This window comes from Homo sapiens, chromosome 3 (assembly GCF_000001405.40).
Source record: "Homo sapiens chromosome 3, GRCh38.p14 Primary Assembly".
Classification (NCBI taxonomy): Eukaryota; Metazoa; Chordata; class Mammalia; order Primates; family Hominidae; genus Homo; species Homo sapiens.
The window spans coordinates 70,169,179-70,193,775 of record NC_000003.12 but is presented as its reverse complement, the minus strand read 5'-3'; the positions used below and the strand labels follow the sequence as shown (position 1 = coordinate 70,193,775).

Sequence of the window (24,597 nt, the reverse complement as noted above, 5' to 3'; positions counted from 1 at the left end):
TATTAATATGTAAACTTAAGTAAAGTTGTTTGACTGCAAGAATTTTGCCCATCAAATACTAAGTTCCCTCAGTCCACACAAACTATAGACTCTGATAAAATATAAATATTTGGTTTAAGAGTTTATTGGGTGTTTTTTGAAGAAGATCTGAGTAAAACCTAAACAGTTGCCACATGTATCGTCAGGTGAGCTGTGTAGAAAGGCAAAGTGAATAGAGTCAAACAAATTTCCAGTGATAATCAACATAGGGGCTGGACTTGGTAGCCTGGGTAACATAGTGAGACCCCTGTCTCTACAAAAAATAAAAATTTAAAAATTTGCTGGCATAGTTGTGTATTCCTGTAGTCTTAGCCACTCAGGAGGCTGAGGTGAAAGGATGGCATGAGCCCAGGAGTTCGAGGATACAGAGAGCCATGATTACGCCACTGCATTCCAGCCTGGGTGACAGAGCAAGACCTTGTCCTCAAAATAATTAATTAATTAATATGGGACTAAAATTATATTTTGGGGCTTCTCCAACAGAGGTCTGAATTGCTCCTAATATTACAGGGAAGGAGCCCAGAATGTGGGGAGAGGACAAGAAATGCAGGTGGGGGCCAGAGCTGTGCCATTATTTGGATAAATATGCCTCCTTCTGGTCTACCATCTTGATATGCTTCACAGCTCTGCTTTTGCCACTGCCTCTAAAGCAGTGGTTCTCAATTCCCTCCCTCACAATTTGGCAAAGCCTGGAGAGACAATTGATGTCACAATGGAGGGCAGGAGACTGCTACTAGAATCTTGTGGATAGAAGCCAGAAATGTTGCTAAACATCCGTAAGGCACAGGACAGCCACAACCCCCCGCGCCCACCAACAAATATCTAAATGTCAACAGCATTTTTCTGAAGCATTCTGTCAGTCTCAATTATCCATCACCAATTCACCTTTAGAAACTGTCGAAAATAGAGTTGCCAGACAAAACACAGGATGCCGAGTCAACTTTGAATTTCAGAAAAACAACAAGCAAGCATGTCCCAAATATTACATGTGACCTACTTATACTACGAATATGATTCTTCATTTATCTGAGATGCAAATGTAGCTGGATGCTCCTTATTTCTAATTGCTAAATCTGGCAACGCTAGTTCTAAAGACTCCACGTTTTGAGAAGGAGTCAACAGAAGTGATGAACCTTCAGCTTTCTCCCAGCCTTCAAGAGAGTAGGGGTTGTTTATCTTTTTGGTGGGAGGCCAGGACATTCATTGGGCCACAATTTACAATGTGGTGTAATTTAAGACAGGTTTGGGGAGTCTGGCTTAAAGATCACCTCCATGGCATTTTCCTTCCTGTCTGCCGCTTACACAGGGCCCATGGCCCTGGACTACCCTGGCCAAGTCTCCTTCTCTGCTTCACATCTTGATTGGCAACTGAGGAGGACCCTCAGCCAAAGGGTTATCTTGATTCAAAGGGTGGGAAGCAGAACTACTTAGGCCTGGAGATCTAAAACACATTTTCTCATTCAATCCTTTGCCAGAAGGACCTGTATTAGAGGTGCTTGCACAGCTATAAAGGAGTATTTTCTTCTCTCCGGAATTTTCCTTTCCATATATCGCTGTTAGGGCACTTTGGGGGAAAGGGGGTAAGTGGGAGGGCGAGATGGAGACATTTCTTGGTCATGGATTGCAATGCCATCTACTAAAATCCGAATTTCACCTTACACTCTTAGTATATAGTTAGGGGTGGACCAGAGAGATTGATGTGTTCTCTACATAATTTTTATTTTTATTAATTTATTTTACAGATGAGAAAAAATATCATATAGAAAATATTTAAGTATTTTGGTATATTATTACATTCTCTAACAGCCGTCTAAAGTAGATTTTATTATTATTTCCTTTTTTTTTTTTTTTAGGGAAAGAGTCTTAAAGAGATTAAGTAAATTGTCCCAGGTTACACGGCAAATAACCAATTATCACAAGGTTTGAGGCCAAATCTGTTCATTCCAAAACCCATGCTTTTAATCACTAAGCCTAAAAAGTTATACATGTGAAAAATTATGAAACCAAGATAAAGTTCAAGTAGTTACTTTTAAAGCATTCAGAAAAATACTATGGCTATATCAAAGAAAAACATTCACTGGTAGTAAATGTTTTAAGAGTTGTTATCCTGTACAATGATTAGAATTTGGAACATCTTCAAAATGCTTTTAAGATACGTACCCAATAAGTAATAAATGCAAAGTCAATGTATTGCAATTTAATCCTTATGTCAGTAGCTTTGCCTCATTTATCTATGGTTACAAAGACTTACCTTTTAGTGTTCCATTTTAGAAAAGCAACTTTGATCTTTGCTTTAAGAGAGTCATTCGTGCACAATGCACCCAGGCCAGCCCCTCATCAGCATTCCACCAGAGGGTTCTAGGAGCATGAATTGTTTTTAATCAGTCAACAACACTATGCTCAAAAAATGCATTCTGATGCTTAGACCTTTTATCTCAAAAGCTATACAGAATCCAAGGTCATGCTAACCTCTTTTATGGTTTATTGTTCCTCAAATGTACTTAGAATGAATTTACAAAGCCACAACTTATTTTGTGGATACAGAGCTTTCATTAAGTTCAGCACTCCCCAACATCCTCTTTGTTTCCTCTTTCAGCACTTTCTGCCTATGGTTCCTCATTTAATATCAAGTTCCCGTAAAATTTAAAAAATAAAATAAGAATATAGAAGAAGATCCTCTCAGTAGCTAAGCTACTCATCATTTAAAGTTGAGACTGCAGAAAGCTGCATTAACGTGTCCAATTACTGCTGTGTAGTTGGCAATACTAGGGGCCAGTCCCTGAAATCAGGGATGAAGGCAAGAGGCCAGGATGGTCCCACTGTCACTACTCTGCCATTGCTGTGATCCTATAATTGCCAATGTGGGCATGGCAGTAAACCACCTGGCACATAAAGTGAGTTTGTAAAACTGCCCCTGGGAGGTGAGGTGAAGATGGTATTCTAAGGGATGTAGAAAATTACATCCCTTAGAATGTATACACCCCATGAAGTGATTTATTAGCTCACTTTCTTGATGCCTTTCACTCCAAGCAACAATATACACAAATTCCTTGTTACGCATTTATAATACTATATTAGCAATGTTTTATAAGTAATTCTGTGAATAAAAGTATCTGTGTGGCACCAAAATCCTCCTGCATGTAACCAAACGTACTTGAATAATATTTTTGGAAAACATTAGGTCAAATCAAAGCAATGGTGAGACCAATTAGGTGGCCAGGTAGGAGGCTACTGCCCAACTTCAGGTAAGACCTAGTAGTGACCTGGACTAAGATGGTGATTGTGAAGTGAGCTTTCAATTTATTAAGGAGCAGATGAAAAATCACTGAAGAATAGCAGGAGATTACATGATTAAAGTGGTGGAGGAGGAAGATTGACCAGGCAGCAGCATGCAGGACAAATTAAAGCCAGGAGAGTAGAGACTGAGAAAGGTGCAATTGCAATAAGGCATGGGGTGATGAAGGCTTGAAATAGGATGGTGACAGGGAAACAGGAGGGAAGAGATGGATGGGAAAGAAATTAGAAAAGGACCATTAGTCCTTTCTCAAACTCTTCTTATTTTAAAACTCAAATATTGCCTACTGTCTATCACATATATGAGTCATGAAGCCATTATTTTCATTAGGGAAGAAATGGGTTGGGGAGGGGGGAGTTCTATTCCAAGTGGAAAGTCAAGGTATATTTTTAGCTACATTAAGCCAGCCTTCTGCTGCTCTGCACACTGATGTAATTCCAACATAAAATATAATCTATAATATTCCAGGGGAACAAATCCAATTCTTGGCCATATAAATTTTCATATAAGTCCATCACAATTCATTCCCAAAACATCTCATTCTCTTTGAAAGCTGGAGCTGCAGCAAGTGATCAAAAAGAGTAGTTTAAAATTGCTCTGGAATTTCCAGAGATGCTAAATCTAATGTGCCTACGGTGCAGGACCAATCCCCCAAACTTTAAATCAGAGGTAAAGCATTTTATGTTTTAAAAGATATATTCCTAAAAGTTTATCATGGTGTATTAAAGTCAAATGTGAGTTATTACTTACCAAATCTGGAGCTGATGTCTATTCTTGATTACCCTAGGTAGGCGAGAATAAGTATCTTCCAACCAACATATTTTTTACCTTTTCATCTGCCTCTTGCTATTTACAATAGAGTGAAAAATAATAGCCAAGGAGTGACTTTGCTAGGTTGGGCGAAGTGCAAAACCCATCTGACTACACTCTATATTGTATTCCAGGCCCCTGGCAAGTTCTGCTTCATGGAGAAAAATAATGGAAACTGACTTCTCAATAGCTGGATTGGTCCTGTAGGAATAATCAGTGAACACTTAACTGATGAACTTTCAGCACATTTGCATGGCTTAGAACTTAGTGTATATATTATTGGTCATGCCTGAAATGTACTTTTCTCTGCCCTCACTGGGGCTTTCTGCATGAGGGAGAGAGTTACCAGGATGCCCTATGAAACTCTAGAACTAGCATAAATTTTATAACTAATACCATCTATGCAAAAAAAAATTCCTGTCAATTCTCCTGGCTTTATCCTTTGTGAACACAGCAATTATTAGTAATTCAAGATTCCTCCTGGGGGTGAGGAAAGTAAGAGAATAGAGGTCATCCTTGAGTTTAAAACCATCTTAGAAGGATTATACTTCTTTGTGCTGGGGGCGGTATATTACTTAGGCACTCAAAATTGGAGAAACATTCTAAAGATTCATGGTCTCAAGCACCCTCTCTTCTGATTTTTGGGGTGTTTGAACCATTAGGAGACTCCTGCTCCAGAATGCCCTGTTATAATTCAGGTATAGTTCATGAAAAGTTTTCATGTTAGCTTTGTAATAGCAGAAAAAAAGGTTGCAGACTGCAGACAAACATTGGTTCTAGTCGTCACCACCATTTACCAGTCAAATGCATTGAGTTAGTAACTAAACCTCTCTGAGCCTCAGGTTGCTAGATGATAAAGTGTTGTTAATAATACCTACCCTATTGGGTCATTGTGAGGAGTAAAAGAGATGATTCAGCCAAGTCTTTAGCGTAGGCTTAGTATATATGGTAAACTCACTAAATTTCAGCTATAATTATTCTTATCACTACCTAGTTCATTTGTTTCCGTAACACATGAGAGATGTCTATTCTTTATTTCTGCACTATCCCACATCATATCAACTTTTTGAGACTTATTCCATATACCATCCCTTTCATTATTCCTGTTCACTCCTCCAGGAAATGAGCACTTCTAATTCCCATATCTCTTTATTTTTTCTTCTCTTAGATACCACACACTTTTCTCCCAAGATTAGCATAATACCTCCTGTAGTAGGTAATTTTAATAAGCACTTATGTGTCAGTGCTGTATAAACAGCCATTAATGCATTATCTCACTGAACTACCTCAATGATCTCTGAGAAAGGTATTATGACCCCCATTTTATTGATGAGGAAAAGTGAGTCTTGGAGACTTGAAATAGCTTTCTAACACCAAGACAACACAATGGCAGAGTAGATATTTGAACTCTAGAGTTTGTCTGACTTCAAACCCCATGTCTTCCTCACTTTACTATAAAGACAATAAAGAGAGCTGTAAGATGGCCATGGTTGAAGGCCAGGCTGGCCAACCCAACATTTTGAGGATTTAAAAAGGTAGGACAGTGGCAGACAGATAGAGACGAGTTTATGGTGTTGATTTCCTTAGAGATCCTTCTCTGTGATGCCTCCCCAGGGGAAAGGTGGGGTGGCTGCCCTTCTCCTTAATGTGGTGGGAGGTATGTCCAAGTGAACACTCAGAGAGCTTGCTACATGGCCTCTTTTTATAGGGAGACAAAGTGAACCGCATGGACTCCTACCCAGGAAACCAGAGGGCTGAGCTTCTATGGCAGCAGAGTGAGGTAGAGTTGCCTTTGCCCAGAAAAAAAAGCACCACACTGCAGAGCAAGCATAGGCTGGGAATTGTGTGGTCTGATGGACTACATATGGGTGAGGTGCCTGAGAAAGAGTTGGTCCCGGCCGGGCGCGGTGGCTCAGGCCTGTAATCCCAGCACTTTGGGAGGCCGAGACGGGCGGATCACGAGGTCAGGAGATCGAGACCATCCTGGCTAACACGGTGAAACCCCGTCTGTACTAAAAATACAAAAATTAGCCGGGCATGGTGGCGTGTGCCTGTAGTCCCAGCTACACGGGAGGCTGAGGCAGGAGAATGGCGTGAACCCGGGAGGCGGAGCTTGCAGTGAGTCGAGATCGCGCCACTGCACTCCAGCCTGGGCGACAGAGCGAAACTCCGTCTCAAAAAAAAAAAAAAAAAAAAAAAAAAAAGAGTTGGTCCCAGAGCTGTCTCATGCTCTGTCTCATAAGGCCACCAAAAATGTCTATGAGACTTCAGCAAAAAGAAATTATGTGTGCAACACCAAGCCCTGGATAAATAGGGTTTGTATTCACAGGTCAAAGGAACACACGTGGGAGACCCTTCTCCATCATGGGTACTCTGATGAAACCATAAAAGGCACCCTTTAATGAAATTGGCACCTTCAATGTATGCAAGATGCAGAGAATATGCCACAATGCTATAAGAGTATCAATCAAATTAGAAGCTTTCTATCCTCTTTATCCTCTTCCTACCCTCCTACTCCCCATTCGGCCTTGGTGGGTTCAGGAGCCACAGTGCCACTGAAGAAGGAAACATGGTAGCTAGAGAAAGACGAAAGGCCCATGACAGACCTTTCTTCCAGCAGCCAGTCCACACAGTAGTCCCCAGCTAGAACAGGAGAAGACATTGACTGAATCAAATTCAGAACTATGGTTCTTAGTACTCAAACTAGGTTATGAATTGAGACTACGTTTATGACTTAAAGGCTGTCTGACAGACATGTCATGGGGCTTCCCTGAGTTTACTTCCAAGAGCTAGGAAAAGACTCCCTCTGACAAATAAATATAAAAGAATGGCAAGAGACAAATGCAAAGTTGCTTTCATAATGACACTTTATGAGCACTGATTATTTAACATGCTAGTGATATTTGTTTCCCATCACACAGTGGAAGCTTCTTGGGGGCTCCTTTTTCAGCTAAGAAAGGTTTTTCTCATTCTCCTCCTAACCACCCCTCAATTCGGTGCCATCAATGAAACCCCTTTCAACTATTAGGTAACCTTTCAAAATAAAAATTCCTATGGTTGAGTGTGCTGGCTCACGCCTGTAATCCCAGAACTTTGAGGGGGCAGAGGCGGGAGGGTCACTTAAGCCCAATATTTTAAGATCAGCTTGGGCAACAGAGTGAGACCTCATCTCTACAAAAAAAATACCAAAAAATAAAAAAATAAAAATTAGCCAGGCATGGTGGCATGCACCTGTAGTCCCAATTATTTGGCAGGCTGAGCTGGGAAGATCCTTAAGCCCAGGACATCAAGGCTGCAGTGAGCCAAGATCATGCCACTGCACTAGAGCCCAGGTAACAGAGCACAATTTGTCTAAAAAAAAAAAAAAATCCCATTATTGAAAATGAGAAGAACATTACTGAGATTTGTTTTTTTTATACAATGAATGACTATATGGTCATTTGAAGTAAAGAAAACTTAATAAGTCCTCCAGTTTCTGGAGTATGCAAAGCTTCGTGTGACATACATTGTGATGAGGAAAGGATCTCTTTCTGTGTTTGAAGTGGGGATGTTGAGGTGTAGATAGAATAAATAGATCTCTGTAGGTCACAGTGGAAGCTCATAGCAGTAGTGGGTCAGGACTATGGCATAAAATTTTTGTTTTCTGGGTTTTTTTGAGACAAGGTCTCACTTTGTTGCCCAGACTGGAGTGCAGAGGCACAGTCATGGTTCACTGCAGCCTCAATCTCCTAGACTCAAGTGATCCTCCCACCTCAGCTTCCCAAGTAGTTGGGACTACAGGTACACACCATCATGCCCAGCTAATTTTTTTTTTTTTTTTTTTTGTAGAGGCGGGGTCTTGCTATGCTGCTCAAGCAACCCTCCCACCTTAGCCTTCTGGTAGCTGGAACTACAGGCATGTGCCACTACACCTGGCTGGCACAACCTCTTTGAATGACCCATGGAAGAGTTTAGAAGGTAGAAGCTGACTTTAGGTGATACTTCTGCATCTGCCAATCTTGGGGGTGATATTTTGATTCTTTTACTTATTGTGAAAAGGGAATTTCTAGAAAGCAACTGCCAAAGACAACCCAAGGGTTATTCATGCTCTCTGTTGTCCTATAAAACTTATACAATAGCTAGATATTCTATGCCAGGCTTTCAATCCTCTGTCTGCAAGAGGGTGGCAAACTTCAATCATGGGAGAGCTCTGGGCCCCAGACCTGACATGCCCCCTTAATTATAGGGAAGAAAAGACAGAAGGAGCTCCCAGCTACATGTGAGCTCCCGTATGAAACTTTTAGTGGACATTTCAACCACATTACATAGTGGAAGGGCTATTCTGAGCCTTTTTCTTATTTCCATGGGATAAGATATATGCCATGGAGGAAATTTTTATATGGTTTCTCCTTTTGTGGCAAATCCAGTTAAGGCTTTCTTTGGTGATGGGAGTAGATCCGTGTTCTGTGGAGTCTGATGCTTAAAACTTCAGAGAATCTCTCCAAGATCAAGACTGCAAAAAATACCTTAATTTTGCAATTTTCCAAAAACACATGGATATGTTGAAAGGGGCTCAGTGTTTCTATTTGGGATACAATACAGTAAGTTTCTCTGCAAGCTACTGATGGAGACCCAGACATCAATAGGATACGTCAAGTTTACACCTAATCAAAAAGGACTGCAGCAGAGACTTTGCATATGCTGGCATTCTCCTTGGTGGAGATAGCGCTGTCTTACAGGGAAAGGTCACTGCAAACCTGGTCCAGCATGCTAAGAACAGTACACAGTCCATTAGTTTCACCTGACAACCTGAGAGGTAAAATGTGGTGTGCTGAGAGGTATTTTGCCTTCTGTTTCAGGATTCTTCCCAAAGATTCCCCAGAAAGGTGACATGACCTCATGTGGTTAGTCTAGCAAGGGCTGGCAACTAAATTATTCAATGGGAACTGAGACTCCAAATTTCTGTTCTGATTTACCTTACTGCTTTAATCTCTTCATGTATGTCTTTAATTTCTGATTGTCTAAAAATCTAATCAGTTATCAATCTTTAGGAATTATGTGCTAACAAACATATAAGAAACCAAAGAGGACTAAAGATACGTGTTAACTATCAAAAATTTTCATAATAAACTTCTATGTAAGTGGAGGCTTAGCCATAATGATCCAAAATCGGGTGAAAAAGTTAAACCCTTCTTTACCTAAGTGATAATATTTCAGCATTTTCCGAAGGTTGTTTGGAAGCACAGTAGTGTGAAGCAGATACTTTATGGAAAAAGCACTCTAAGATCAAGTGGTATAGTATTATCCCTTCTTAGAGAATCACAGGGCAATAGTAAAGGCTCTGAGAAGTCCTGCAGGGGAAAAACAAACCTGTCTATATATGTTAAATTCAGCATTTCCCAAACATATATTAACCAAAGTAACCCTGTTTATTAATCTGGACAAATATATTTGAAACACTGGTTTCAGCATTTATTTAACATTTTTGAAGAAGCATCACGGATGATACATTGCATTGGGTATTATAAATTCTTTTAACAGTTACACAAGATTGTTTTTCGGAGAAAATCAAATGACCCAAACCCCATCTTTGCAACCACACTGCTTCAAATAGGAATTTGTACCAACATGGAGCATCCATCTGCTTTAGCTCACAGAACTACGAATTGGGAATCTTTTCAACATGACATCCAAAAAAGATTGTGATTCTGCCACGGGGAAGTAGTGACACACTCTCTCTTCTTATCTTTCCCTTTGTTTCGTGGTGTGCAACTTGCTCTCTCCTCTATCTCGCCATCTCTCTAAATAGATATCTGTGCTCTCATTATTTTTTTAAACTGCTCTCAGTTTGGGAACTGAGAAAGTGCTCATTTATTTATTGAATTAGTTCATAAGGATAGAAGAGGGTCACAGATTTGGGGGATTCTTCATTCACATGATGCCACTATGTGATGACTAGCTAGTTTCAAGCTGGCGCTACTTTTCTGTCACAATTTGGACACCCCAGGGGACACTGTATTTGTTCAGAGAAAGCTGCTCCTCAAGTAATAAAAAACCTATAACTTCCAAATTAAATAATTAGTTAAGTCAGAGGACCAGTTGCATATTCAACAATTCCTCTGTTTAGAAAAAGGACTGTGTTCAAACTCTGCTCCAAATTAACTAATTAGTTAAGTCAGAGGTTCAGTCGCATATTCAACAATTCCTCTGTTTAGAAAAAAGGACTGTGTTCCAACTCTTCTCTTTGAAGCATCAGGATTATCTTCAACTCTAAATTCCAGGATAAGTCATTCCACACGAGCCACTGAGAACAGAGAAGTGGGTGTTATATTTACTCTGGGAACTGTGAACTATTTTGTTCTTCATGGTTCCTGAAAACTGAAAAGGATCAAATAAGTAAATCCATAATGCACATTCATAATCATCTCTTTGGGAAAGTCACTTAAATTTTCTAAGCCTCAGTTTCCTCTGCTGAAACGTGGATTTCATCTTCATACTTCACAGTTACAGTGAAGAAAAAATGAGAAAGTTCATGGGAAGCACCTAGGCTTGTAGCTGGCATGTAGCGAGTGTTCAACAAAGAATAGTTATTATTTGAATCCAGAGACCTGAGGAGGACCCAAATGCCTACTTTTCCCTAAACTGTCAGAGTAAGAAAGACTTTTTAATGCTCAGATTTCAGCGTTAACTCTCTTGTTGAAGTCTTTTTCGTTTGCATCATTAATATACAGTTACAAAAAAAATCCAATTAGTCATTAGTCCTTTGAAATTATGAGCCATAAGCATGATAAGGAACCAAAAAGGGTTACAAAGAAAGAGAAAGACAAATAGTTAACTATTAAATGTTCATTCATAATGAACATGCATGCAGGTGGGAACTAAGCCACAATTGCCCTAAATTAGCAAGAAATTTACATCACTAAGAACGGTTCTGCCATCTCCATTACTTGGAACTGTTAGATTTATGTTGGAGTCAAATTGAGCCAAATTGGGCTAAAGTCACATTTGGGGGCCTCGCTGTAAATTAGCCCGTGAAATCATTGAGATTGAGGTAAAATTTCCAAAAGCTTCGTCTTCGGAGGGGGAAAATGAACAGACCAACAATTCCTTAGCATGAGCTCCACCCCGCTCCAATCTGTTACTTTTACGTCCAACGTCAAAGGCAAGCTCTCCTAATTCCAATTGTACCCTGAACACTCTCCCCCCATAAAACACAGTTTAAAGGCCAGCTGCAGCGTGGAGCCTTTTCTCAGAGCCTACAGTTTCAAACAAACGACTGGGCAGAAGCCAGAATCTATATGGGCTCACGAAGACTGTAAAACATTTGGTGCCGAGTGGAAAACGACGTCTGTGAGCTCTGCCAGACGTTTTCAGCTTTCTTGCACCTGTGCCAAGTGTTTTTCAGCTCCCCCACCCCTTTCTTTCGAAGGTGGGGGCGGGGGTTGGGGAGATAAGCAAGCTTTCTGAGGGCATATGCCATAGGAATTAAAAAAAACCTCCTTAGCACCATTAGACACCTGCTTCCTACCCAGGCCCCTTTCTGAAGGCAAAATGAGGACCTCCAGCCCATCTCGGGCCTGGAATTCAGAGCACTGGAGCATCCTGGACATTCATTTCATCCTGCCAGTGTCTCACAGGATTCTAAACCCTGTGATTCTGAAGACTACTCCCTCCCCAATGCTCCTTCCCTGCAGTCTTTCTGAAATCTCTTTCCTGAGCTTCCAGTTGACTCACCCCTGCCCATCACTGATACTAAATCGCCAATTATTTCAAGGAAATAATTTGCACGTTGACACAGTTTGTAACATGCAAAAATATGTGTGGAAGAAAGTATATGTTTCTTAAAGGAAGAACACCCAAAATGTTTTCGCATGAAAGTGTGAAAATGTCTAAACATAGATGATGTGATACAGATCATGAGAAAGTCAATTTGAAATTACCCTGGAATCTTGTGATCATGTTTTCAAAAGAAGAATTCAAGGAAGGAAGGTCCTTTTCCCACCCTGCATGGTAGGGTTTAATATAAACAGTCCCACAATGGTGTATTTATTCCCATGCATTATTCTACTCAGTTCAACAACCCTATGAGGTGGGGACTCTTCCCAATTTGCAGATAAGGAAACTGCGGGTTAAGAAGATTGAGTATACACAAGTCACACTTGTAGGAAGCAGGGCTTGGACTTTATCCCTGGTCTGCTTATCTCTGAGTTTCCACACATTATTAGGCCACATCCCTCTCCAAAAGAAGCCCCTTCAACTCCTGAGGTTGCTGATGCAAGAAAAACCACACTTGCATTCCTTTAGCTTAAAACTTTAGTTTTATTCCTTTAGCTTAAAACTTGAACCTCTGTTAAAATATAAATGTCCTCTCAAGACCACATACGCAGCTTCATTGGCCACTTTGCCTTTCAAGAGTGAGAAAATTGGATCCTTTTCTGTGGACATGTTTCACGCAATAAACTTGGCCATTGCAGAGAGGAAAGGAGCAATGCTGCTGGGAGGATGGTCCTGAAGAAGTCTCTTTAGAATGCAAACTGAAACTTATCACTTCCTTGCTTGATACTCTCAACGTTCACCCACTGTTCCCATGATAAATTCCAAGCTCCTCACCATGACTTGCCAGGCCGGGAAGATCTGACCCCGTGCAAGGCCTTGGCTAGCCCAGCTAGTCCCCCAACATAAGCAGTTCTTTCCTAACTCAGCCCATTTGTTGTTGCTGTTCTTTCATCTGGCTAACTTCAGGCCTAAAGCTTTGTTCTCTTTCCCCACCGAAACCTCAATTTAAATTAGGGGGCCTTTGCTTTTCTCTGACTCATAGAACTTTTCTTAGCCTTCGCAGCACTTAATTGAATCTGTAACTCCATGACCAGGGCAGGAACAGTCTGTCTGTTGTGCACCACTGTATATCCCATTGTTGGCCCAGATATAATATTTTTGGAAGACTAAATGGGTTCGGAGTAGCACGGTGTACTTCTGTAATCCCTAATTGTTCAGTGAGGTATAGCATATCTGAAGGCTCAAAGAACTTGAACATTTGCTTGATTGGGCAGTAATGCAATTCAAGGAGATTCTGGTTTATGTCGGTGTATAAAAGAGACCCAGGCTTGTAAAAGGGTTTCAGTTCTTAGGTTTCTGTTTTCTAAGGCCTCAGTATTAAGCATACATACATATGTGTGTTTGTACCCATATAAATATATACTAGATATTATATATGCAACATACGTGTAATATATGTAGGTAGTATATACAGTTACACATATATGAGTAACTGTCAATATGATTATAATTGTATTATTGTTGTTATTATTGGAGTAGCCTCTATTGGCCTGAAAACTTGCTGTGTGTTAGACATTGGCCAAAGCAATTTATATACATTATTTAGTTCAATCTTCACAAAACCCCATAAAAAGATATTACTATACTCATTTTATCTATGAAGAAATACTGCTTAGGACCATCAAGTTATCTATGTGAGGTTTCTCAGACCCAAGACTAAAACCTAAGTTGACTCAAAATCATTTTTTCTTTAAGGACAACTGAATTTCAGTTTATTATGCCATCACTCAAAACTGAAAACAAACTCCTTCCTTTCTACCCATTTTTTTCTTCACACACACGTGCGCGCACACACACACACACACACACACATACGAAGCACAGGTAAAATAATAAAAATCTATCCCATGATGAGAGGAAAAGAATCCCAGGAGAATAAAGGTCACAGGACTGTTGACACTATCCACTGGGCATCTTTCCCCATACATCCACTCACTCAGGAAGCACATCTTTCTTAGCAGTTGAACTTTTCCTTAATGTCCTTTGGACATAAGCCTGTGACTATAATCCAAGAATTCAAGCAGAAGTTCATTGACCCCATTCAGATATAGAACAGAGGATATTCCAATGTCCAGAGGCAATTTAAAAAAACTCTTAAGTTCTCTTCCAACTCTAAGCCACAGTCAGCCACTCTCATGTACAAGTACAGACTTGCTTAGAAGGAAAGTGTTGGGCTGGTAGATAAAGATCCTAGTGTTAAGACCCACCTCTGCCATAAAGAAACTTACTGGCTTTCAGCAAATAAGGAGGCCTTAGTAAAATGAGATCTTGAACTCTATTAGGGGTGTACCCTGTGCATTGCTTGGACTGGTCAACAGGACAAGGTGGGAGCCAAGAGCAGCTGAGGGAGCAGGGCGCTGGGCTTCTCTTCCCCCTCAGCCTCTGCAACTCTGCTCCTGTCTGTCTTAGGTACTGCAGTCCCACGTAGGATTCTGTGTAAAGTCACCTAACACGCATTCAACAAACACCAAAAATGTCTGTATTAAACACCATGCTCCAAGAAATGTAGAAGTGCCTAAAACTTTCACTTCTCAAAAAGAAGGGGAACCAAGGTTTAAGAAGTGAGAAGGGGAAAAAGAGACAGCACCCACAGAAGAGAGCTCCAGGTGTCCAAAATAATTCTGAGAGCCCTTCCAGTTTGACATTCTAAGTCTCAGAGTCACTTAACCTCTTAAGTCTTCATTTCCACATCTTTAAAATGGGACTAATTATCTTGCCTCTCTCATGAGATTATTGTGATGCCAGAGGCAAAAATATAAAATGAAACTGATCAGTTATAAAGTTCTTCTTCTTATTATTATTATTACTATTATTTTGAGACAGGGCCTTGCTTTGCCACCCAGGCTGGAGTGCAGTGGCATGATCATGGCTCACTGCAGCCTCGACCTCCTGGGCTCAAGTGATTCTCCTACCTCAGCCTCCCTAGTAGCTGGGGAATGCCACCCGCCCAGCTAATTTTTTTGTATTTTTGGTAAAGATGAGGTTTCACCATTTTGCCCAAGCTGGTCTCTAACTCCTGGCTTCAAGTGCTCCTTCCCCCTTGGCCTCCCAGAGTGTTGGGATTACAGGCATGAGCTACTGTGCCCAGCACAAAGTTCTTATTATTGCTCCATAAGCAGTTCAAAACCATTTTTCCTAGTGAGACATCTAATCATTTTTCATGGCCCAAACAAGAAAAGCTTCTAAATGCCTCCGCAGTGGTATTTGCAGGACTGGAAACTCCCAGCAAATGCCTCCTTCATAGTGCCATGCCCCAGTTTCAAAACATTAGTCCCTTCTCAGTTTAACGCATTTTCTTAGGTTGCAGTGACTCTTCCACTAAAAGACAGAGGTGCATTAGTGGGAGATTTATGCTAATATCTCAGCACTGGAAATTATGAGGCTTGCTATATTCTTGTTCGGTCCGAGACAAGCAGCCAGGGTATGTCCTTTAACAGGATTTCCAGGAAGGATACTGCAGTTTAAGAAATGCTGATTTGCTGGCATTTATATATTCCAGGAAGAGGGCTGTCTTAAGTGTATCAGAGCCTAGAGCAGAAAATTATTTTAATGCCCCCTCCTTCCTCCACACATCCCCAGCATAAGAGAAAAGCAGAAAATATCCATTGGCTACAGAAATGCTGGCATTAGAGAAGAGCCTGGAACTGTTTTGAAGAGCCCTCATAAGACAATAGGACAGCCCTCCTGGGGGAAGGGGGGTGATATACATCCCCAGCAACTGCTCCTAGGATGGCCCTGCCAGCATGTGTAACGGCCAACTGGTTCATCTTGCTAACTATAACGCTCGGCATATGGGCAGGGAGTGTTTATAGATATATACATACACCATACATTTTCCCAGCAAGTACATATAGAGAACATCCAACTGTATATTTTGCAGACATACAAACACGCACATATATTGTCCATATGTTCAAACAATTTTTAAACTATATCATGAACGAATAAGGATCTCCTTACACTAAAAGTTGCCGGCGGTACCATAAGTGGACACTTGAGAAGGCATATTTTAAAGATGGACAGAACTCAGTTTGAATTTCAGTTTTACCCTTTTCAGTGGTGCAACTTCTTCTGTAAAATGGGAATAATAATGGAATCTTCCTCATGGGATAACTGTGAGGACCCCATAGGATTGTGCATGTAAAGCAATTAGCATATTGTCCAGTGCGAGGTAAATTCTCAATAAATTTTAGTATTATTAATATGAGGTGACATACCAGGTTGTGACCACCAAAAGTCTTTGGAAACAAGAGAGGTCAAAATGAATGGCAGCATATTATACATTGTCCATCTAGATACTTCGACAACTGAATGTCACTCCTCTGCTTCTCACGACACCCCAGACATATGTACTTAACCTGTCGTATCTCTCTCCTTTCATTTGACTATGACCTTGAAGTCAGAGAGAGCATATTTTTATCTGTGTTTTCTACCTTCTGGACAAGAGACCAGTTCACGGTAGGTGCTCAATAAATATTGATTGAACAGATTATTATGAATGGATGGCACACCCTGTGCAGATCTTTCAGCACACAGGGAAGTGTCAGATTTGGTCAGGTAGGGGTATGTACCAGTGTAAATTGTTCCAGTAAAAGCTGATCTCTTAAACAAAAATGTGCAGATAAAGCAAAACAACCTAAAAAAGACACATACTTTCTTTCCATATTTTCTTTCACTGAGAACAAATAGATGTATATATATTCTCTAGTTGTTTGGATTAACATCAAAGGATAGGTGGATGTCTGATCTTCAACACCCTGCATCATCTTTCTTGTATATACCAACGCCTTAATGCATCATGTAAAGTTTTCGTCCTTAGCTCTTAAAGCAAACATCTCATAGACCTTTAATAAAATTCCTGTGTGAAGAATTCTAGATACCTGTGATACTCGCACCCTTCAGACTTTGATCTATTCTCCACCCGGTTGAAGAGAAATTTTAAATTTAAGCCCTTATCAAGTATTTCCATAATATGTAACTTAGTTTCAGAAAAAAATGATCATCTTTTTATACTCTTATTTAACCAGTTTATATAATATTTGATCATTTATGTATATAACAAGTACATTAGGCATTAACATATTTGAACACCTAGTCTTATCTTTTTAGTATACAAATTAAATGATAGGTGTATTAGAGTAGTTTTCTCATTGCAAGGGATCAGAGTTTGTTTTCTGGTAGAAAAAGAGAATTATTAGTTTGAAAAGTCGTTTAAGTAGGGGTCAGATATGAAAGCTTCTATTGAATTACCATTGTATTAATAACAACTCATAGAACATCATTTTGAGGGGCATTGGAAAAGAAAGAAAATTCCAAATTTCACATTACAAAAGAATATTTTGTCATCCACGTCAGGTCAAGACATTGATGAAAAGTTGATGAAGCTAAACTCTCAAATGATGATGTCATCTCATAAACGGGGTCTATCTCACCCACAGAAGCTTCTTCTGCTTTCCTTAATGCCTCTAATTACTTGTGTATAACAGAGGCTTATGGGGTTTCCTTCAAGTACATTTCTTGGGTTTCGCCTGAGCAATCAGTTCTACCAAATGGCCTCTTACAGGTATAACCCTGTGAACTACAAATAAATTGAGTTCCCCTAGTCCTCAGCACTACCTCCATGATTTGCCTGGTCCTCAATGCCACCAAAAGAAATATATTAAAGCATGAAGAAGACAGTGAACAAATGGGATTTTTACATCCCACTTGTGAATATTTTGTGTCTTGGTGAATTTAGTGAACTCAAATTCTGACCTTAAGTCTGAATCCCTAAGGCATGGAGATATCATGGGTATGCTGAATCTGAGTCTTGGAGAAAAGGCAGAAATATCTCTAGATGAAGTGTGCTCTTGAATGGCAAACAATAAAAATGTAAGCCTAATTACTATGTGCAAAGGTGTTTCGGTGGCCCCATGTAAAGCCAACCACGAGTGGTCAGGACACCTCACCTTAAACTAGCTTTCTCCTACTGAAACCCAGGACCCAACTTTTTACCATCGTCAGAGAGAAATTTTGTGCTAGGAGTGTCTTGTTATAATGCAATAGTCCTGAGAATCTTACCACATTAAGTCATTCTAAGCCATTATCACCTTATCAGGAATTCATTATTTAGTCATTTGGCAGAGTTTCTGGAGGAGATTGTAGAGCAACTGGGGTAAGAGAAGGGATATATCCAAATTCTTGGTTGATATCTATGAAGTCTCAGAAACATTTTTTTTAAAAGCACAGAAGATTTGGGGTTCTGGATCAGCTCACATATGTCCACTTCTCAAAAGTGGACATGACAAGTTGTCTGTCTAGATCTATTCCTTCTGCTTCTCTCCTAACAGAGCCCTAATGTGAATCCTATACTTCCTGTCTCTCATACAGTTCAAGTGATTCATGAGACTCAGGCATTTCTCTGGTAGGGCTTGATGAGAATAAACCAGTCAGTGGAAGGCATTTCTTTGATAACTCTGATTGGTCTGAAAGATGCCTAAACTGACCCAATCAGACTGAAAGGAAGGACATATGTATTAGACTAGGGGGAGAGGTACTCTTTCTCTATTTCATTTGGCATGAGCAAGAAAGTAAGGTGTCTTGATTGCTATTGGCAGCCAACTTATGGTCATGATTAAATCAATGCCAGACCTATATTCATATCATTAGCAGAGGAGAGATGAAAAGAACCAAAGTCCCCAATAGAGTTAAACTACTGTGTCAATCAAAAAGCAAACTTGTTTATCTCCAGACTTTCTATTAATTGCGATAACAAATTTTCTTATTACTTAAGCCAATCGAATACCAGCTTTTGTGACATAAAAGAAAAACCACCTTGTTAAGTGTTCATATTGATTTTAAGATGCATTTCAATTTGAAAACATTAAAATGTATGTGGGAAGGTGGGGGGAAGTACTTATTAGAATTTGGGAAATAAACTGTACATGAAAATATGTTAGAATTGGCTTGGTTCATGATTTTGAAATTAGATTGTCCACCTAGGATTCATGATCTATAATTAGAAATGGTTCCAGTTCAGTGGCTACTTCCTCATAGATGGCAGCCTAAAAAAAAAAATCTTAGACCTTGTTGACCCTAATTGAATAGATAATTGAAGGGATAGAAAGTCAACCTTTTCTAGAATATTTTTTCATTTGTAGGCATATGAATACAATAAAACTAAATTCTGTAGAAAAATAGATATGCTATTGAGAAAAGTTGAAAATTCTTCTTAGACACCATGAAGTACCTCTCACTAGCATATTTTTTTCTTATAATTAATGGTAATTTACCTAAATCTAGGGCTACTAAATATCTACAACCACTTCCAGGATTCTTTATCTCTACGTTATGCCTTGCTTAGCTCTGCTACTCTGCATGGTTTGATGATGCACATTCTATTTTGGCTGGACCCTGAGCCTGGATTTTAGATACAACTGCTTCATAAAGCAACCAACACTTCACTCCCTATTTAACCACTTACACTCCCTTAAAGTGTACTTAAAAATATATCAACATGTGATTAGGTTTATCATTTAGATTTTTTCCAAAAGATGAAATAATACAGTTTCCTAGTACAAACAATTTTTGTTCTCACCGTGCTTCATACCATCTTAATAAACACTCAGATGTAGAGGTGTGGTTTAAACCTGAAAATGAATACAAATCAATGTAATTATCCAAAATGTAAAATTCTAGTCAAAAAACAAAATCTGTTCATAACCTAAGAATTATATGAGATTAAGCTGGACAAGATGCCTCATAAAAAGAATGTCCAGATGTCCAAAGGGAGGATGTAATTTAGGAGTTAAGAACTTGAGCAACTTTCCTGGGGAAGTTTTTTGGTTTTGTTTGCTTGTTGCTAATCAGCCATTCAGATTCCTATCCATTCTACATTCCCCAGATGCAGAAATGTGGAACTTGGTAACATGTTCTGGTATATCTATATTATTTCCCTGCAACTTAAATGCATTAAGTTGTTTCTTATAATGAAAAGTAACAAAATATCACCTCAAGGAGAAAACTTTATGAGTATTAGTGCTGCTAGTACTGTTTTATTCTCTTAAAGAAAAAAACTAAATAGAGATATGATTTTTACCTGGCAAATATGATTAACAAGACTGTAAAAACACAAAAAAAGTACTTATTTTTGTCATTTTGGCTCGTGATCATTGTGAGCAACTAATGGTTCAGGGAAAAATGTTTTTAAAACTTTTGCAAAAATTATCTAGTTTGAGCATATATAAATTCTCCTACTTATGAGAAGCACATGCAAAAGTCGTGAGAGGGCAGATGAGGTAAAGATCAAGGATAATATAATGCCTAGACAGGGGATTTAAAACGTATACCATATATTTGCTTTTTTAGTTAAAGTAGATTTTGGTTGTTACTGCTGTGAAAATTTTGAACAAATTTTATATCATTATTTGAAATATCCAAAAGCTATTTTTAATGGATTTTGAAAAGCCACAGCAAATAGTAGTCATTCAATAAATGTTTTTAAATTAAACTCAATTGATTAATGCAGCACATCCCACGGGTCCTGTGACAAACAGAACAGAGACTACTTTAAAGGTAAAATAGTCTGCTGAAAAATAAATGGTTTGAGGAAACAGTTACCTGTATTACAATCTATTAAACTCTCAATGCGTTAATATGATAGGGTAATAATATCTCTATCAGTATAAATTTAAACTGCTTATATTTATCCAAGAAGAAAAATGTAGTGGGCTTTTAGTGGTCAAGTATGCAAGCAATAATTTACATGTCCTCCCAATCCCTATATGGATGGTTTCAACATCCTCAGTAGGAAAGAACTAACATGAGAACGCTATGAAGCAAACGATTAAGAGTAGAAAATTCTTCGACAATATAAGTTCTAATAAAGAAAAAATAACAGGTGTAAAGCTGACATTTGATATGAAGTGATGTTTATTAAAAACGAACAGTTAAATAACTATTATGGAACATGTATCTCTCTAATATCATTCTCTTCTTTTTTAAAATTAAGAACTCAGATTTTGTTCAGCATAGGAAGTGTGCCCTGTTAAAATCCTGAATTTCCCCAGCTGTCTTTTGGTTGTGATTGACCATGAGAAATAGTTCTGTCCAATGAGCATCTAGAGAAAATATGGTTATCGCTATAAGGGACAGATGCTGAAGTCATGTGCCTTTTGCCCTTAGCCCTTCCCCTTTTGTTGCATTTAAGCCCCTCTTTTGTGAGTGTTCTTACTTGCAGCTAAAAGCAACCCCTAACCCAAACACAGGTCTGACATCTTCCAAGCAATTTATTGTTACTAAGCAGAATAGCTCTTCAAATAATATGAAATAAAACCAACACTTATAAGAACACTAGTGTAATGAACTTTTTACCCCTTTGAATAACGCCAGAAAGCTGGCAGTAGCAGTTTCTTAATGGCATGGAATTTCCAAGGACTTAAAATTGAAGCTTTGTTTTCTCTTTCTCATGGATGCAGGTGGGACCATAAACTCTTTCTAGCATGACGCAGAGAGTACCCCATGGCCAACATGAGACTGTCACCTTAAAAAGAAAAAAAAAAAAAAAAGACCACTAATGAAACAAAATAACAATTTGGGGGGAAAATCTGTTCCAATAACTAACTAGCCTTTAAAAATATTTTACCTGGCCTGTGGTTACCAATTGAATAAAGGCAAAAGATGTAAGAAATGAAACTTAATTGAATGAAGCTCAATAGAAAGTTCTCTGTAATAGGAAATGTAGTTCTAGTGGATCAGATCAATTATCTAGATTAAATCATTGTTGTTTAGCAGATTCTCCCCAGATAGCAACTCTTTTTCAGGTTACTTTCCAGAGACAAAATGACTGAATCACTGCTTACTTTTCAAATCACTTACCAGCACCAGCCAAATCACTCCACTATAGCCTTAAAATATAGAAACCTGCAACTTGAGGCTTTTTCAGCTGAATTCTATACCTCTCCTAGTCTAATACGCCAGGTGTCTTCCTGAAATATGTGGCAGGGGTGGGAGATTCATTCATTTTTGAGTATCCAGTGATTCTTGTTTTGATTTTCTGGGATAATGAGTATGCACTTTGAAAAGAGTAGAGAAGGTTTAAAGGACACGAGAATAAATTCCAAAACACACGAAGTGAAATTGAAGAGTATAAACATCTTTTAGGTTTTCATTAATGAAGATAATTCATATTTGAGTAAAAACTGGGAGTCAAGCTCCCCCCCCCAAAGACTGTGCCTTTTAAGTTACATCAATGTCCATTTTTTTCATGCATTTTCAAAATTATTTCAGCCAAAACTATACTCAGATTTTCTATTTTTTGCAGTGCTCATTTTGAAAATGTATTTTTATTTATAGCATTATACATAAAACCTATAAATTCTCTGAACAGTATGGGTTTGATATGTCTGAAGATTTTTTTAAACTTATATTCACAATATCTTCCAGGAGAAATATATGGCAATGAAGTTAAGCTTCAGCTAACCTTCTAGACATAACTCTTAGGTGCTCCCAGATTTACTAGTGATCAGTTCTCTATACTTATGAAAAACATAGGTTAGCCTGTCTCTGGCACTTTGATAGACAAATTCCACTTTTAAAATTTTGATGTTCATAAAGTGTCCTGAGAGAAGAGAGCTCTTAATTTGTGAGAAATAGAGTCTAGGGGAAAAAGTAAAATTAAAAAAAATGTTGTGTATGTGTTTTTTTAAGAGTGTTTTCTGGACAGCAGGAAAGCAGACAGTTATTTCTGGAAGTCTTTCATTGCATAAAAATATCACAGAGCCAAATTCTGCCCTCCGATGATTTTTCTTAAAGTTACTTGAGTCCATATGTTTCTAGAAGCTGAATTTGCTTCATTGCATTTCAAGGTCTAATCACGCAGTTATTACACAGGCAGAATCTCCATGAAATTGAATTTTGTTTGTTTAAGAACAGTGTATTTGAATATTTCCTACAACAAAATGTGGTCAAAGACTGTGGAGAGTTTGGGTTAGTGGAAAATAAATTGCAGATCACCAAAACATCTCTGCACTCGCTAATTTTTCTTATTTGATTTTCCCTTCTATTTGGAAAATGCCAAGACTTCTGAGAATACAGAAAATAATATCTAGAGAATCTTTATTCATATCTAGCTCTTAAAAAATTAACAATGTCCTTCACAATTTCCTTTTAAAAATTTTTCACCTCTGTTTAGCCAGTGAATAAAATACGAATTTCTATTCAAAGCATCATAAAATACAAAAAAAAAAAAAAAAAAAAAAGGAAAATCTAGACTGCAAGTGATTCTGTTTAAAATTGTTATTCTTGAAAGTCTGGTTGCCAATTTAATACCATATGGCCATTAATTGTGCGGTATAAAGTAAAAATATTATGTGATTTTCTGTATAATTAATGAATTTTAAATTCAAGAATTTAAAAGAGACAAAAAAATTATTCCGCCAGATTCCAGACATTCAGGAACCTCTATATTATATCACAAATCTTCTTTTAAAATTTTTGAACATTTGTCATTTTTCCTGTAAAGCTATATTCATCTTCATGACAAAAGTACCTGTTTCATTTTTCAGATAATAAGTGAAAAAAAAACCTTTCCTACATCTGCACAAAATATGTCTATCCTCATTAGATCCATTTTCTCAATGAAATTCAAGTTTCTCTGTCCAAAAGGCATAAATCTGGGTATTGATTTAACTATAAAATCATAAAACTCCCGGTAGTCTTCTAAAACCATTTTACTTGGATGAGCATATGAGCTTTTAAAATATCAAGTTATTCCAGTATTTAATACACATAACTGCTTCCAGAGGGCTAAAGGCAATAAGGCACAGCTGCCCATTCCATTTGATGAACTACAACTAGACTGCTAGCCAGTGTCCCCCTCCTTTCTGGGGTATTTTTTCTAAAGCGTTTGCTTCTATTTTATTCAGCATGAGTTTGATACCTTCTGAACATGAACCCTATCACCAGCAGCCAAAATCAATAAGCTATCTAATCAAGGGCCTATAAACTAACAACAGACCCTCGGTGCTCTGTTCCTATAAAATGTAGTTCATTCTAAGTCCTTCCTTCCAAACCAGTCTAACTCTAAATTTATTATCCTCTTCTGACAAGGTTAGAGCATTGTCTACCTAGAGTTCTAGAAAGACTGTTCTGGGGAGCAAATCAATTACCTCTTGAGAAGGAAAAAAAAAAAAAGAAAAAAGAAAAGACCTCTCTAAACTCTCCCTGAAATCTTTTTATTTAGCTTCAATTTTCTTTTGAAAGCAAGGAACCTTCGCCATGAAGCTTTCATGCAGCAACCAGCTACTTCCTTTCAAATAAAAATCATGTGTAAATATTTCATAGACATGTCTCTAGTGTGAATTGCACAATATGAAAAGGAGATGTTAAGGAAATATCACCCTAAATCATACCAAATAAGAAATACAAACATTTTCCTAGATCCATAAAGTTTTGAAGTGTAAGCCACAAATTCTCCTTGCATAAAACGTCATATGCTTTTTTGATATCCTGAAAGCTGTGGCTGAATAGCCTTCACTCAATGACTTCATAGTGTATTTGATACTTATGTTTATTTTAAGCTTTTTCAAATGATATTTTCCATCTTAAAACTGAGAAGCACTTTTGCTTTGAAAGATTATTCATAGGTAGCAATATAAGCA

At 38.4% G+C, this 24,597-nt stretch overlaps 1 long non-coding RNA gene across 13 annotated transcripts in view; it reads right to left on the bottom strand.

Annotated features, from left to right (window-relative positions):
• Positions 1-24,597, bottom strand: part of SAMMSON (survival associated mitochondrial melanoma specific oncogenic non-coding RNA) — a 435,002-nt gene that overhangs the window by 240,814 nt on the left and 169,591 nt on the right. For 4 of the 13 annotated variants that reach the window (NR_186026.1, NR_186027.1, NR_186025.1 and 1 more), the window contains one exon: positions 9,575-10,427. The exons of 5 other annotated variants lie outside the window; for them this stretch is intronic. This is a non-coding gene — a long non-coding RNA (survival associated mitochondrial melanoma specific oncogenic non-coding RNA). Of the gene's footprint in view, positions 1-9,574; positions 10,428-20,851; positions 21,480-24,597 lie in introns of those variants that run through there. 4 more of the 13 variants (NR_186023.1, NR_186021.1, NR_186022.1 and 1 more) reach the window with 1 other exon arrangement.